This window comes from Homo sapiens, chromosome 4 (assembly GCF_000001405.40).
Source record: "Homo sapiens chromosome 4, GRCh38.p14 Primary Assembly".
Classification (NCBI taxonomy): Eukaryota; Metazoa; Chordata; class Mammalia; order Primates; family Hominidae; genus Homo; species Homo sapiens.
Window position 1 is genome coordinate 177,460,172 of NC_000004.12, and position 17,970 is coordinate 177,478,141.

General features: G+C 39.5%; 1 long non-coding RNA gene across 25 annotated transcripts in view; it reads left to right on the top strand.

The window, feature by feature from the left end:
• Positions 1-17,970, top strand: part of AGA-DT (AGA divergent transcript) — a 255,397-nt gene that overhangs the window by 17,658 nt on the left and 219,769 nt on the right. For 3 of the 25 annotated variants that reach the window (NR_183801.1, NR_183800.1, NR_183798.1), the window contains one exon: positions 4,153-8,332. The exons of 21 other annotated variants lie outside the window; for them this stretch is intronic. This is a non-coding gene — a long non-coding RNA (AGA divergent transcript). Of the gene's footprint in view, positions 1-4,152; positions 8,333-17,970 lie in introns of those variants that run through there. One more of the 25 variants, NR_183799.1, reaches the window with a different exon arrangement.

A 17,970-nucleotide genomic window follows, 5' to 3' on the forward strand; every position in this document is an offset into this window, starting at 1 on the left:
TAAAGGTGATTATTTAATCATTGGGGAATTACAGAAAAAGCAGTATGATGAATGCTTGATTCGTGATGGATACTCCAATTTTCCTGATTTGATCGTTATACATTGTGTGCTTGTATCAAAGTATCACATGTACCCCATAAATATGTACAACTAGTATGAATTCATAATAATAAAAAGCTTAAAAATCCAGTATTATTACCATCCTATGGGAGCTGAATGGTGGTGTTTTACAATTTATTTTCAAATCTTTATATAATATCTCAGATAAACTTAATTAAATTCTAACCAACATGGGTTTGATAATCATGGATTTAGCCTATTCGTGGGTTAGAATCCTCTAGTCAAGCATCTAGTTTAGGTTAAAAACAAACAAACAAATATTCTTGCTGGGAAAACATTATGATAATCAAAATTACAATTTAATAGAAGACATAATCCTCTCTGAAGGAAAGATTTTAAGCTAAATTTTAACATAAAAAAATGCACAGTCAGCTCATTGCTAGTTGTTTGGAAGAGGAACAAAAGAACATTTCATTTTGAACAAAAACTAAATTATCTAAACAGTTACTTGACATTTATAAAAACGGTAAGTCTTATGAAGCATCAATTAATCTTGCAAGTGCAAATCTATGTATTACTAATCCTTTAATCATCATATTGCTATTATCTGGCTGTTCCAAATTTTCTCGGTCCACCCCAAGTTATGAAACCTAGATTATTGGTAAAATAGGGCCTGGAGGAACAAAATGGAACACTTCTTTATCATTTTTTTAATACAAAGATATGACATTGCAAACTTGTGGTATGTGTTTGAATCTATGTTCTATCAGGCTATATTTCCTATGTATGTAACCCGTTTGATCTTAATGAGCAGTTTTAAAAGTTCTGGTTCCTTCAATAATTTATTCTAAGTCACTATTAAATTTCATCCCATCTTCCAAAATTCTTCATCCCTTTCAACAGGTTTGGTGACATTTCAAGGTTAATAACTACTGAGGATAATATGAAAGAAAATCTGGTTAAGATGAAGCCCAAAATATTAGGTTATTTTTTATTTTTATTTATTTATTTATTTGTTTTGAGATGGAGTCTTCCTCTGTCACCCAGGCTGGATTGCAGTGAAGCAATCTTGGCTCACTGCAAACTCCACTTCCCAAGTCCAAGAGATTCTCCCACCTCAGCCTCCCGAGTAGCTGGGATTACAGGTGCATGCCACCACACCCAGCTAATTTTTGTATTTTATTAGAGAAGGGTTCTGCCATTTGGCCAGGCTGGTCTCGAACCCCTGACCTCAAGTGATCTGCCTGCCTTGGCCTCCCAAAGTGCTGGGATTACAGGCGGGAGCAACTGCGCTCAGCCAACATTAGGTTATTTAAATATGAGACGTTTCTTCACAAAGAGGCTTATTAGATTTTATATACTTGAATATAAATTACCCTCTTTTATCTGTTGGTTATAAACATTCTCATTTATCTGACGTGAAGTAATTGTAATAATTTTAGGAGAATTGGGAAGGAAGTAGTTAACCTTAAAAACTCATCTCATGAATGTAGGTATGACATATACAATCTTGGGTAGGAAGTGATGAAATGGTAGCTGTCTAAGGCACTATTCTCAGAGTAGAAGAGACTGTTTAACGGTGATTAATGGGAATGTCATGGCATACTTGAGGCTGCCTAGTGATGGAGGCGTAGGAGATCGTCTTGTCAGAGTGACTTTAAAGGCCCAAGCTTCCCACTCACTTTTCAGAAAAATGCAGTACCCAGGGCTCGGTTGAAAATCCAGAGCTGGGGCTGGGCACAGTGGCTTACACCAATAGTCCCAGAACTTCATGAGGCTGAGTCTCAGCACGTGAGTTTGAGACCAGCCTGGGGAACGTGGCAAAACCACTTCTGGACAAAAACTATAAAAATTAGCCAGGCATGGTGGTGTGCGCCTGTGGTCCCAGCTACTCAGGAGGCTGAGATGGGAGGATGGCTTCAGCCCAGGGAGGTCAAGGCTGCAGTGAGTGGTGATCATGCCACTGCGCTCCAGCCTGGGTGACAGCGTGAGACTCTATCTCAAAAGAAAAAGAAACTGCAGAGCTGAAGCACCATGCAGTCATACCCAGAGTTGAATGAGAAAAGCAAACCTTTCATATAAATTAGGTGATATAGACTCGTGCTTAAAGATATATATTTGAGCAAGTGCAAGCAAAGGCTAAGGCTTACTAGTGAGGAAATTCAAAAACGTATGCCTGATGTCCTGGTGCAAAGGAAGCACAGCAGAGTGGGTAAGACTACAAACCCTGGAGTCTTCAGGTGTATCTGTTTGAACCCACTATATAAATTTTGTTGTTTGTAGTATAGAACTATGTTTTTCATATTGTAGAAAGTTTTCATTTCATCTAACTATTTCCTTGCTTATTTGATGTGTTAGTCCATCTTCCTAATAAAATCCTCTGTTTTGCCAAGAATTTCAGTTTCTTCAGTGGATTCTTTTATCATCTTCATAAAAGGCAGAGGAGATGTCTGGGTAGTGCACACAGTTGTGTCATAAAAGCTGGTGTCTCTTCTGAGAGTCTGGGTATCCTTTCTGATTAGCTAGTGCTGATGAGTCAAAAATAAATCATTTGGGCCGAGCGCGGTGGCTCATATCTGTAATCTCAGCACTTTGGGAGGCCGAGGCAGGTGGATCACCTGTGATCAGGGGTTTGTAACCAATCTGGCCATCATGCCGAAACCCCGTCTCCACTGAAAATAACAAAAATTAGCTGGGCCCTGTGGCGCACACCTGTAATCCCAGCTATTTGCTGTGTCACCCAGGCTGGAGTGCAGTGGCACAATCTCAGCTCACTGTAGCCTTCTCCGCCTCCTGGATTCAAGTGATTCTCTTGCCTCAGCCTCCCAAGTTGCTGGGATTATAGGCGTGTGCCATCATGCCCAGCTAATTTTTGTATTTTTTAGTAGAGATGTGAGTTCGCTATGTTGGCCAGCCTGGGACCATTTAGATTATTTTCAATTTAATCACTTTTATTGAAGTATATAAGTTATACTAGATTTGTATGTATAGCTTACATATATTTCTTATAGAAAGTATAAAAGTATACATGTGTGTATGTATGAGTGTACAAATATTAAGTATATAACTTGATGAATTTTTACATGTAAAAATTCACCAATGCAATCACCAGTTAGATCAAGTTATAGAACATTTTCAGCATCTCCCCTTAGTTAATTTCTACCTCCTTCCAAAAATAAGCCCTGTTCTTATCTCTATTGCCACAGAACAGTTTGCCTGCTCTTGAACTTCACATACATGAAACCATACAGTCTGCATTCTTTTATGTGTGGCTTCTTTATTTCAACACTACATCTGTGAAATTCATATACATCACTGCACGTAGCTATAGTTCCTTCTTTTTCATTCTTGTGTAGCACATTGTTCTACAGCCTGTTTATCCATTGTGGTATTGATTGATTGCATTGTTTCCAATTTGGGCTAGCTGTTACTAGTATGTTTGCATATGTTCTCGAGTAGACATAAGCATTCATTTCTGTAGTGTGTGTACCTACAACTCATTGCTCTTAAGCAAGGTAAGTAAGGCACCTTTGTCCATTTCTTGGATTCTACCTATCTGCCTAAAGGGAGATTAACTCCCTTCATATGCTGAAATCCTCTTTGTGTAGGAATTGTTTCCTTGCTCATTTGATATGTTCATCTATCTCCCTAATAAAAGCTTCTGTTTTGTCAAGAAAGCAAAACAGAGTTGAAGTGATAGCTCGTAAGATTTAAGCATGAAGGTCTAACAGGACTATGCCACAGGCAGAGATCAAAAAAAAGAAAAAATGATAATTTTATCATTAAACCCACGGTCTCAGCCCAAATTCTCTGCTCCAGAAAAGCTAATCCAAACATTTCAGAAACTGTCATTACCTGCAGCAATTTCCAACTCATTCCTACAAAAATGTAAGAGGCATGCACAGCTTCTTACAGCACCCTGATCTTTGAGAGAGAAATGCCAGCTCTTCTCTGCCTCATGACTTATACCTTCAGGCAGAGGAAGGAAAAGCAGTGTGAATTATGTTTACATATGCTTAGGAATTGCATTTGACAAGGCATAATGAATCAGCGATGTTTTCTTGTTTGGTTTCTGTCTCAAAATTGATCTAGCTCCAAGTTTAGAAGACCCTACGACGTGACTCAGTAAGTGGCCTCACCTTCATCCGATTGCTCAGAATTAAAACCTAGAAGTCATCCTTGATTTTCTCCTCTCAAATCTGTCTCCATTCATCAGCACGTGCTTTTGACTCGATGAAACGCTCCAAACACAACTGCTTCCCACCGCCTCCACTGCTGCCTCTTGTCCCTGCAGCATCATCTCTCACCCACATTGGCCACAGCGGCTTGTTGTTGGTGTTCCTGCTTCTACTTTTGACTTGTTTCTATTGTCTTCCATGCCCACTGGAACTGTAATTATTTTTTGCAAATGTAAGTTAGATAATGACATTCCACTGTTAAAAAAAAAACAAAACAGAAAACAAAATGAAAGAACAAAATAAAAATGTCTAGTGACCCCCTGTTACACCTAGCCGAAAATCCTTACTTGGCCCAGAAGGGCCTAGATTCTCAGTCTTGACTGCACATGGGAAATCACCTGGGGACTTGAAAAATACTGACTTTAGCTGGGTCTGGGGAATTGTGTGTGTGTGTATGTGTGTGTGAGATGGAGCTTCGCTTTTATTGCCCGGGCTACAGTGCAATGGCACCATCTCAGCTCACCGCAACCTCCGCCTCCCCAGTTCAAGCCGTTCTCCTGCCTCAGCCTCCCGAGTAGGTGGGATTACAGGCATGCACCATGACGCCCGGCTAATTTTTTCTATTTTTGGTAGAGACGGGGGTTTCTCCATGTTGGTCAGGCTGGTCTCGAACTCCTGACCTCAGGTGATCCACCTGCCTCGGCCTCCCAAAGTGCTGGGATTACAGGCGTGAGCCACCGCGCCCAGCCGGCACAGGGAATTTAAAAGCTTCCCAGAAGTTTCTGATGTATAACCAAGATTGAGAGCTACTCTAGGATCCTTCCACCACTCTCTTCCTCTCTCTATCTCCACCCCAGTTGCTTACTTGCTGTGTTTTGAGCACACTCTGATCCTTTCCACCCCAAAGCATGGATCATTCTTGCCCCAGATATTTGCATGAGCTATTCTTTCACACAAAGAGGTCTCTGCTCAAATGTTACCTTTTCAAATATATTTTCCCCAACGAACCTACCTAATGACTATTTTTTTACCCTGTATATTTTTAGTTTTTATATGAAATTATATTACTTGCTTCTTTACCTGTTTATTGGTGCTCTTCCTCACAAGCATGTAAGTGCATGAAGATAGACACCTTGTCTTATTCACTAAGACATTATCACCCTGGCATATAGCGTGCTTGGAACTCATTCTCTGATTAGTGTTTTTCAGTGAAAAAAATGAGGATTACTCAAGGTTCTGGGATCTGGATTTGCTACAAGTAGCTAATTGTAGCTTATGGATTCTCTGGTTTGTAAGGCTTTTGTTGCTTTTGTTCTATTTGCAACCCTAGACTTTCCTTCCAGAAATAGTCATCTGGGCGTGGTGCCTCACACATGTAATCCCCATACTGACACAGGTCGATCACTTGAGGCCAGGAGTTCGAGATCAGCCTGGCCGATATGGTGAAATCCCCTCTCTATTGAAAACACAAAAAACTAGCCAGGTGTAGTGGCGGGCGCCTGTAATCCCAGCTACTCAGGAGGCTGAGGCAGGAGAATAGCTTAAACCCAGGAGGTGGAGATTGCAGCGAGCCCAGATTGCCCCACTGCACTCCAGCCTGGGCGACAGAGGGAGACTTTGTCTCAAAAAAAAAAAAAAAGTCAAGGAGTCTTTTGCTTTTACTTGCTTACCTATGCCGCTATATTTTACATTCAACTTCCTTCTGATACACAGGAAGGACTGTGTCTGCTTGGACTGGACACAGTTGGACTTTCAAGTGAGTTGGCTGGCTGTGGGTCTTTGATTATTCCTCTCTGTTAGAGGGGCAGAATCCACCATTTTCTTAGGAGAATGGTGCAAGTGGGAAATCCTTGTCCTATAGGCTGAAGGCCAGTCACTTCTCTCTCTCTCTCTCTCTTTCTTTCTTTCTCTCTCTCAATAGGGTCTCACTCTATTCCTGGGCTGGAGTGCAGTGACACTATCACAGTGCACCATAGCCTCAACCTCCTGGACTCAGGTGATCCTCCTACCTCAGTCTCCCAAGTAGCTGGGACTACAGGTATGCGCCATTATTCCCAGCTATTTTTTATTATCTTTTTTGTAGAGATGGCGTTTCACCATTTTGCCCAGGCTACTTCTCTCTCTCTTTATTCATGCTTCCTTTCACTTTTTGATATCTAAGCCTTGCCCATCTCTTTTTCTCAGCCAGGGGGATGGATCTACACATAGAGGACTTAAGCTCTAGGTACAGACCTTCCACATACCTGTCTGCCTATCCCTGGCTTAGGTCTGGGTCCTGGTCACTCACAAAGAGGTCCAAGATGGGTATATTGCAGCTCCAAGGCAAGTAAATGCTGCAAATCTTTCTCCTGAATTAGAACTTGAATAAAGGAGGAGTCAGAGTCCAAAATCACCCTCCAGCATTGAGGCTGTGGGCTTACAGTGGTCGGGAGCGTCTGAGTGCTAACTCTTCCTGGCTAAAGATTGATTTCTCAGGAATAGAAAATCTCATTCATATTCATGTCGTAGGATCTTTCAACATGCTACGGTGCTAATATTATTTCATTATTATAATCTTGGGAGTTATTTTCCTGGTGAAGAACCAGATGTATGAGAGATTAAGTTATTGGTCTAGAGTCATATAGCTTGTGAGAAGAACTGAGGTTTGAACTTATCATTTGACTACAAGAACTGTGCATGCTACATTTTACCACATTACTTTTCTAAAACTAAGAGAAAATACAATGAAAAAGTGAGAGAGGTGAGAAAAAAATGGAGAAACTAAGATGGAGAAAGAATAAAAAGAGTGAAATAAATTTTACTTTGGATTGGTGAATAGAAACTGATCTGGCTATTTTAAGCAGAAAAGGATTTTCTGTAGTGGATTAAGTGCTAATAAGAACATACATATGATGATGACACAAAAGTGGGAACAGTCCTTTTTTGAAAAAGCGAAAATAAGAAAAGTCAAAGATGTCCTAAATGTACATGGCTAAATGTTTTTTAAAATTGGAGTGATTCTGAAACATAATATGTAAAAAATTCTGCAACATATGGGCAACAGGAAATAGGAAAATGATTATGACAGATAAAAAACAAAACTTTTTTGACTGTATGCCATGCATGAAAGCTCAACATTAAGGGAGTTTATAAAGCCCTTACAAGAGTTTCTGCATATAGAGAGAGATCAATAAGTACTAGCTATTAGTATCACTATCCTAACGTTTACCCAGGAGAAACCATAGACTACATATATCATGTGGAAAGTGCCAACTCACACAATTTTTGTTGCAAACTCCAGGTAGTTGACTATTTTGAAAGTCCCTTCAAGTCTTCTATTGTCAAGATAAGTGACAAGGCACCCGCCTATGGAGGGCTCCAGATTCAATATTTGGTAAGGTGGCTCCAAACACATCTGAGACATAAGGTTGGTGGTGCCAGCCTCAATAGATTCTGTTCTTGCTTTTTTCTTTTTTTAAATTATAAGTCATATACTCCTTACGTCAAATCAAACAGCAGAGATGTATGAAGAGAAAGTTCAGAAATGCAGCCAAATCAAATTTCCCATCTAATTTTGCTAACGAATGTTAATGGCTGTATGCCAGTCCACACATTTCCAATCAGTGCATTTCAAATTCAGGTAACGTTTGTTCATTTTGGAAAAAGTTACAAAATAGAAGCTAGGAGTAAAATAGCATGCCTTCAAAAGAATTTCATTTCAGAGAATTATTGGTGGAAATACAAAGACAGTAAGCTTAATTCCTTTATGGATATATGAACAAAAGGACTTAGAACAAACAAATTACCTTTATAGTATTTTGTTAGTTAACTATAAAAATAAATTTTTGTTGGTATTATTCTGGAAAAAAAAAGAATGCTTATTAAACAAGACTGTGAGCTCCTTAAGGATTGGTATTATCATAAAACCTAGCAAAGAACCAACCTCACCATGTGATGGGTATTTTCTAAGTATTTGTTAAAATTTTAAAAAAGAACATTTAAACTCCATTAAATGCCAGGCTTTTTGTTTCTATAATGTCAATGGAGTGTTCATTTTACTTATTATGAATACTACTTTCTTCCACTATAATCATTAAAATCAGATAAAACATTTATTCAATTTGTTTCATGTATTTTTATTTAATTACTGTTATTGTACAGTTATATGTATTTAAGAATTTAGTATATTTTCTACTTGTTTTATGACTGAATATTTTAAAAAATTTGTTATAAATTTTCAGTACTTCCTTCGTATAATACATAGCATACATATTAGCTTACTTCAGCACCACCTAAATTAATGTTTCTGTAAGAAACATTACAAAGTCCAAATAATACATTGTTTAGAATTCTAAGTCTGTTTATAATTTAGGGACTGCTTATAATGATTCATTTGGGGGGTTTAATCCATAGCATCAGGCATATATGAAATGTGCATTAATGGCACAGGAAGAAAAGGAGACAAAGGAAGCATCTACTTTTAATTACCTCTGAAAAATATCTAAGTAATTTCATACACATGTCTACCTGTTTTCTTCCTGACCATCTCAAGGGACAGCTTTGCCACAATAGTTCCCAGTAACTGGTTTTATTCCAAACAAATGTAGCCCAAGCTGTACTTAAATCTGCATTATATCTGGGTGTCTCCTTCTTGCTCTCCTTTCTCCCTTCTATGAGGACTTTGCCTTTTGTTAATCAGCTAACAAAATTCACGTAGTGCCACTCATCAAGAAATCAAGGCCCTGTAATAGGGTGCTAGGTTATTCTTATTGAAATGTAGTATCCATCTCGCTCAATATGAAGCCTATGATTGAATTTAAATAATAACCAAATCTACAGCTCAACCAATTGGTTTTTAATGAGATTCTTGCATAGTTATATTTTATTTTGTATAAGGAATAGGGTCCTTGTGCATCATTGACTATGGAAAGGTTAAGGAAGAAAAAAGTGTAAAGAGAGTTTTAAAACATATAAGGTTAATTGAAATTCCAGGTTCTTCTGCAATCAAAGCAATTCTAACTCAGTTTGGTGGCAATGAAACATGTTTTAGAGGTGTGTTAGTTACGGTTATGAGGAGCAGATATTTTACCCTGGTTAGTGTTAATTTTGCTAAAGAAACCAGTGTCTCAGAAAAAGTTTTATTTCCATTTGGATGTGGTTTTGTTAGTGTAAATTTGATAGGAAGGGCAAGACTCTCCAAAGTTGGGTCTTCTTCCTTTCCTTTTCAAAAGAGAGATGGTCAAAGGCAGGAGCTAAAGCATCTTGATTTGAAAAATAGACCTTTAATTAAAGAACGCCATTTTCTTGTCCTGCTAGAAAACAAAACCACATCTTTAAATCTTCTGTGGATGGTTGAGAGATTATAATAAAGATTGGTGTGCTAATAATCCTTTTTATATATATATAAAAGCAAAACTGATGGATTTTAGTAACTATAAAATACTATTGAATATATCAATCGCATACATTTTTATTGGCTGCATTTTCTAGTAATTGCATATAACACATGAATGTGCTTCTAATTAAATTAATTCATTTAGAGAAAAAAAGACCTTATAAAGCAATTGCTAGTTTCATGATCTTTTTTTTTTTTTTTTTTGATATGGAGTCTGGCTGTCACCCAGGCTGGAGGGTAGTGGTGCACTGCAACCTCTGCCTCCCTGGTTCAGGTGAGTCTCCTGCCTCAGCCTCCCAAGTAGCTAGGACTACAAACATGCACCACCACGCCTAATTTTTTTATTTTCAGTAAAGATGGGGTTTCACCGTGTTGGCCAGGCTTGTCTCAAACTCCTGGCCTCAATTAATCCTCCCACCTGGACCTCCCAAAGTGCTGGCATTACAGACATGAGCCACCATGCCTGGCCTAATCTTATTTACCATAGATTTTTTTTTTTTAGGTGAATGAACTAGGAAACTATTGTCATTGTTTGAAAAATAACACTATGCGTTGATAACTGCAAAAAGTGGCAATTAAGTAGTTTATGTTATTCCTAATGCTAATAGTAAATAATGACACTGAAACAGGAAAGGTTCCCTTGTCTCCCTCGCAGGGCGTGCGATGGGGGTGTGGCTCACTTCTTCAGTGCCCCACTGCTCTAGGGGAGCATACAGACATGCAGGCTGTGGGGCTCCGAGCCTACAGCAGTGTCTAGGAGTGAATGTTTACAGCTGAAGCCCCAGTGGGTGTGTGTTACATGATGCTCTTTTAGTTTGCTGTTTATAGGCAGCTTGTATTAACCAGCTCAGTAAGACCCTCTACCTTGTCCCTAGGGCAGAGGGTTTTCCGTATCCTGGGTTGTTGCCTTGGTGTACCGGAAGAATCGGACCACACGTGGGCTTGGAGAATGAGTGCAAAGTTTTTTTTGTTTGTTTGTTTGTTTTTTTTTTTGAGACGGAGTCTCGCTCTGTCGCCCAGGCTGGAGTGCAGTGGCTCCATCTGGGCTCACTGCAAGCTCCGCCTCCTGGGTTCACGCGGTTCTCCTGCCTCAGCCTCTCAAGTAGCTGGGACTACAGGCACCTGCTACCATGCCCAGCTAATTTTTTTGTGTTTTTAGTAGAGACGGGGTTTTACCTTGTTAGCCAGGATGGTCTCCATCTCCTGACCTCGTGATCCGACCGCCTCGGCCTCCCAAAGTGCTGGGATTACAGGCGTGAGCCACCGCGCCCGGCCGAGTGCAAAGTTTTATTGACTAGAAGTAGCTCTCAGCGGATGGGGAAGCCAGAAGGGAGCTGCAGTTTGGCTCCTCACTGGCCCCGGCTCTCCTTTGACTGCCTCCGCCAAACTCTGCCTCGTCCCGCCGGTTGATGGCCTGCTGGCGTGGCAGCGCCTATTGGCGTGCTCTCCCGCTGGCGTGCTCTCGACAGCCTTGTCGAGAAATAGCTTGTGTCTTCTTCCACCGATGTGTTCTTCACGATGTCCAGCAGCTTCTTTTTCTGCTGATGTGCTCCTCTTGACATCAGGCCGCCTGCGTGTCTACCTGCTAGGGTATAAGCCCAGGATGGGGGCATGGTGGGCCAGAGTGGTCTTGGAAAATGCAACATTTGGATACGAAAGCAGGAGTGCCTGTCCTCACCCAGGTCCATAGGGTTGGAGCCCTAGCTAGGGACTTGCTTTTCTTTACCGGGCACTTCCCTGACCCCGTATCAACATTACTTGATTAAAATTTCAACTTTGCTACTTATTTGCAACCTTATTTGTAACCTTGGGCAAGCTAATTGACTTTTCTTCCTCTTCAGTAAAATGTCTCTGTGTACATGTGTGTAAGTTTGCAATGTAAATAATAGTTTTTGGCCGGGCGCGGTGGCTCACGCCTGTAATCCCAGCACTCTGGGAGGCAGAGACGGGCGGATCACGAGGTCAGGAGATCGAGACCATCCTGGCTAACACGGTGAAACCCCGTCTCTACTAAAAATACAAAAAAAAAAAAAAATTATTTGGGCGTAGTGGCGGGCACCTGTAGTCCCAGCTACTGGGCAGGCTGAGGCAGGAGAATGGCGTGAACCCGGAAGGTGGAGCTTGCAGTGAGCCGAGATCGTGCCACTGCACTCCAGCTTGGGTGACAGAGCGACACTCCGTCTCAAAAAAAAAAAAATAGTTTTTTTCTGAGGATCAATTCATTTAATTCATATAAAGCACTTAGAACATAATACATGCAATATATGTTTTCATTTTTCTATTCAACAAAAGTTATACTTTGAGCTAATTCCCCTTCCCTAGCAGACACATCATCTCAGCCAATGTAAAGGCTTCTCTTTCCTTCATTCTAGGATTGTCTATATTGCAGGAGCTTACAGAGTAACAGGCTTTAGTGGGGGTGCTAGGGCAACAGATCCGACCCTCAGAGTCCTTGCTCATACAGTTGTCTGCTGACATGAGCCGTCCATCATACTGACTGGCCTTCACAATCTAGGTCATTTCTAATATATGTTTGATATGTCGATTTTTCATCTGTCCCTGGGCACACAGAGAAACTGTGAGGCTGTTTGAAGTCCTGTCTGCCTAGACAGTCGGAGGCATAGCTCCTGCTCCAGCCATGCTGCTGGCCTTGTGTTCTCCCCATGGAATGAAACTCAGGGCTCCCCTCATTTTCTGGTCCTACAAATCTAACTGGAAGTTTGCATATGTAAATAGGATGGACTCTGGAACAAATTTGCCCAAAAAATGTAGAAGCACAGAAACATAAGTATCTATTAGAGTTACCAAATTAATATTATTTTGAGCAAACTCTTTCATTCCATTTTTTGGAAGGAAAAGGAAGATTAAAGACAGTAATTGGGATGTGCAAAGACATTAGCAATAATCCTGGGCTGTTATTTACCCTGAGCTTGGGCCAGGGGACTCCTTGACATTTGATCAGCTGACATCATGACTATTAAACTAAAGAAACATTTGTGAGAGTGTAACTGCACAAGACCAATCTGGTTCAACTTTTATGTAATAAAGTTCCGAGTTGATTTTAAGTTGCCATGAAGGTCACGAAACCTGAGCATGCCCAGTTGAACCAAGGGTGTAACCACAGGTGGAACTTGAGTGCTCCCACCAAGGAGTGGAGAATGAGTTAGGAAGCCGACACCACATGGCAAGATCCAGGATCCAATCAGATTGAGTTTTGGCTTCATCCCATAGCAAGATCCAGTCAGATCATGCCTTCCAGCATCACCTAGTTGCAAGATCCAATCAGAGCACACCTCATTACCTTATGCTTATAAAACCCAACCCAGTCCCCAGCTCAGAGAAATAGATTTGAGCTTTTCCTCAGTCTCCTTGAGGGCCAACAGCTGGTCTTTTCTCAAAAGCCAGTACGGTGGTGTTGGCCTCTATGCACACAGGGCAGTGAGCCCACTGAGTGCTTGGTAATGAGAGGTCAAGGACTCTGGTGTTTAGTGCCATACCGTGAATGTAGTATATGAATGATTTGGTCATAGTGAAAACAATATTTGGGGAGTGTTAGGAGAGAGATTGGTCACTTCTGGCTAGTTATGCAGGGAAAGGGAAGAAAATGGAAGAGGAGGTATATAATTTAGGCCTGGAAGGTTGGCTGGGGTTTAAGCAAAGACAAATTTTGCAAAGAAAAACACTTAATGCCGTTTCTACTCAAAGTTTATCTTTTTTCATCCTCAAATTTAATAAATAGGACAGTGTTTTGTCGTGGAAAGCCTGTAGACTTTGCAGTCATTAGACTCTACTGCCAGTGAGTTGTTGGATGACTTTAGAAAATCAGTCTCTGTGCCTCTGTAAAATGACAATGACATCTGCCTAACAGGGCTGAGAAAATCAAATTCTGAACCACACATAAAGTAGCTAAAGTACCCTGCCTAATGCCTTGTAGCAACTCAATAATTGCTATTTCCCTTCCTTTCTCCCTTTTGATCCCAGTGGCTTTAATGTTAAGTTTATGTAGCTTATGTTGGGGACCTTAACAAAATTTCCTTAAGTATCTAATTCTAGAAATAAGCAGTTTGGATTGATAGTCCACTTTTTTCTTGGAAGAATCTGTAAAACATAAGATGTTTATTGGCTCTGATGCCTAACCCAAATTTGTATAATCATAAAATGTAACCAAATAGCTGGTGATACATAGAGCCTAAAAAGAGATGTTTGATTTACAGGATTTTTTAAATCAGAAAATTCTACAAAGAGCTATTTTCAAAGGAGCACTTCTGCAGACCTGACATCTAAGACTTTGCAAGTGGTTGCATTTAGTGGGAAACATGATGTTTTTCTCCCAATTGACCTCTTAAGAATTAGGTCACAGGGTACACTCTGTTCCCACCAATTAGGCTTTGATAACATCTAATTGGACAATTAAGCTCCCTCTTTAGACCTTTTGCTCTTATTATGTACAAATTTACCCCATCTCAAGAAGCATGAGACAGCTCCCCTGGAGTAAAAATGAAAGACATTACAGTTTTGAGGTGTGTGGGAGTGAAACAGAGAACTATTCTCTGCTATATAGGCTAACCATGGAGTTGTAGAAGTCGCAAATGCTAATCCATTTTTCACATCGACATGGGGCAGAATTTCCAGTCTTGGTACTGTTGGGTGTCCGGAGATGGTTTGGAGAGAGGAAAATTAGAAGAGAAAAGCTGCTGTCAATGGAGAGGAAGTCAAAACTCGTCTACATAAAGACAGTCTGATTTTGACTTTTGCTAGGCAAAGCCCTTTATAATTATTTTATCCAGTCATACAAGTGAAATAAGCATGAAATCACAAAATGGCATTTTGATGCCATTTATGATAAATGAAAATCGTCTTTGATTAGCTCTAAATAAGAATATTTCTAATAGAGCAAAGAATTGTATCTGAATAAATTGCTCATTAATGATGTCTGCACAGCACAATTGAGAGTCTGCAGTATTAGGTACTAACTCAGAAAGAAAATTGTGTTTGGACTGATTTTTAACTTGTTATCCTAAATAATTCAAATCCATTTCTCCTCAGCACGATTTCTTGCAGCAGTGTTAAGCATTCAGCTTATTTTGTGCTGTTTTGACCTGGCATTTGTAATAGTTTGGGGGTGAGGATGGGTACACCATATTTGTTTTTCAGTTATCCCATTTATGACCACTGTTGGGGGGCTCAGTTAATTTTTATGTGAATATTTTTCAAGTGGTTTGCATTTTTTGTTGCCTGCATTACTTTGTTGTTGTTGTTGTTGTTGTTGTTGTTGTTGTTGTTTTGAGACAGATCCTCGCTCTTGTTGCCCAGGCTGGAGTACAATAGTGCCATCTCGGCTCACTGCAACCTCTGCCTCCTGGGTTCAAGCGATTCTCCTGCCTCAACCTCTTGAATAGCTGGGATTAAAGGTGCCCACCACCACGCCTGGCTAATTTTTGTATTTTTAGTAGAGATGAGGTTTCACCATGTTGGCCAGGCTGGTCTCGAACTCCTGACCTCAGGTGATCCGCCCACCTAGGCCTCCCAGAGTGCTGGGATTATAGGCGTGAGCTACTGCGCCTGACCTGCATTAGTTACTTTGATCCTGTTCTCACATTCATTCCTTGCTTGAGAGCAGTAGATTCAAGGAGTTATTTCCTCAATGTCGTGTATTTACTTTGCTATCCCATTCTGTCATCTTTGTCATCTGCTTTGACATGGAACTGTTCTGCATTACTTCTCTTCTTCCTGCTTTACTTATTGAGATTGTGTCCTGCTTCTAATTAACAGATAGACTTGAGAATTCTTTGGTGGTTCTAATTTGTGATACTACATTTACAGTTAGTCAGAGTTAATATTAAATACATATTTTCACAACTTTTTGCTTTATTAGAAATATTTCATTAAAGTTAACCTTCAGATTTAAGCATAAAATGATACTTCATACAATTTTATTGATGGTTTCTCTGAACTCTCTTAATAATGTATACATTTCTTATAGAACCATGTAGCCTATTATTTATATTCTTTCTCCCCTACTAGTTACAGATACAAAATCTGATGGCTCTCATGTTCCAACAAACTATGGCTCATGGGCCATCTAGCCAACCATCTGTTTTTATAAAGTTCATGAGTTGAGTGATTTTTACACTTCTCAATGTCAAAAGGATTTCATCCTTATGACAGAGGCTGTATAAAGCCTAACATATTTACTGTCCATCCCCTTACAGAAAAGTTTACAGATCTGCACTATAAAGTTGAGATCTGCAACTTTTAGAAATTTATAGAAGTATTTCTAACACTCTAAAGTATTAGAACAGTGCTTTTCATAAGAAATGTTCCCTAAAGGATTTCAAATTGTCAAATAAATGTATATTACATTGGAAGTCATTATTTAAGCCATTTATACCAATGAATCCATAGAGACAATATAGAACTAGGAATTTTCATTGGAATTTGAAGTCAAACTAGCATCAGGTACTCTGCTGTTTCTCTGTTGTCATTCTTCTGGAATCAAGGTTAGTAGCTATAGGGCATAGTCATATAAAGATGATCCAGCCTGTGGGATTCTGGAAAAGATTGAGAAGGTGCATAAATTTGAAGAACACTAAGAACTTCCTGCTTGAAAATGAAAGGAAGACTTTTAAAACTAATTGATAAAATTCAAACACCAATTTTAAGTAAACTAATAAAAAACCCCAGGGATTTCATTTAGATAAAATAACTCTTAGGATAAGAAAAATAAACAATCTTGATTTAAAACAAAGCAGACATCATATAAAACTCGCATCCCTACCTGTGGATTAGAAAAAGTATATAGAGAATAATAACTTGATACACGTATAAAAGATGAAGAAAGCTTTAAAATCACACTAAGAGGAGTATGAGATGAATTTTCTCTCTTATTTTGACAACCTCTGACACTAAAAAAGAAATGGCAAAAATTGAAAAAGAAATATATTTCTTATGCTCGTCTCCTTATCCACATTTTGTTATGATGAGGCAGCACTGAAAATGTTAGTGATTACAAAAGGTGAGTTACCAGAAAGATGAGATTTTCTTTTTTGTTTGTTTGTTTTTTGAGACAGGGTCTCGCTCTATCACCCAAGCTGGAGTGCAGTGGTGCAATCTTGGCTCACTGCAACCTCCGCCTCCCAGGTTCAAGCGATTCTCGTGCCTCAGCCTCCTGAGTAGCTGGGATTACAGGTGTCCACCACCGTGCCTGGCTAATTTTTGTATTTTTAGTAGAGACAGGGTTTCACCATATTGGCCAGGCTGATCTCGAACTCTTGACCTCAGGTGATCCACCCGTCTAGGCCTCCCAAAGTGCTGGGATTACAGGCTTGCGCCACCATGCCGGCCAGATTTTCTTTCCTTTTATTTTTATATGTTGACCAGGGATTTCTGATATTCATAGTTTTAACAGCACCTTGGATGTTTAACAGTGGTTTTGAATACAAAATATCATTTTCTGTACTTAAATTCATAAAAGAAAAGTTGTAGTTAAAATGTTTCCCAAAAGTTCATAAATTTTAATACGTGACATTTAATAGGCAATATATAACTAAAACTTAGACTTGCTCTTACTTGCCAGGACAATGTTTTACTTAGTACGTTTGCATTAAGCACCTATTGGCGATGAGACTATCATCCCTCTTCTTCTTACTATCATGCCTACTATAATTAGCTTGAAAATATTCAAATAAGTATCATATAAACACATGCCATAAGTGTAGCCCCAAATGCATAAAAGCCCAGAGTAGGGGAGAATTTTATTTGTCTGGGGGTAATCATTGAAGAGTTAGCAGTGGCTCTTGAAAGATTTATAATGGGTAAAGATTGGGGATGAGTAATCCAAGCAGGACTGGCAGGAGAAAGCCCATGAAAGCAGGAACCATATGAGATGTCTTCAGAAAGTGATATATCACTTACTATGTATCATTTGGGGTATATGTAGGAGAATAAGTCCCCAAGTTAAAATAAAACCATTACAGAAAGATGGCATGAAATCATGTTTAGATGGTATGTTTTCTTATTTAAAATCTAGGCAGATTCAACTGGCAGTGAATATAAAACACTGAAATAAAATTTGATATTCTGATATGGAAAAAAAAAACGACATTAAGCATCAGTACTTGAAAAACTAGTGATCTGAATGCTCTGTGAAGACCTGCCCGGTAAAATTTACTAGGGAGAAGAAAGTTGTATTAGCCAGGATGTCACATCATGCTTCATCATCCTTAGCTTCTCTCTGCCAAAGCAAAAGGAGAGAAGCAGGGAGTTCAGGACTTCATCTGGGCCATTTAGAAGAAAAAAATCCTTTCTAGAAATAGCATAGCATTTGTTATAGGCCTGTATAGGTTTATCACTTGTGCA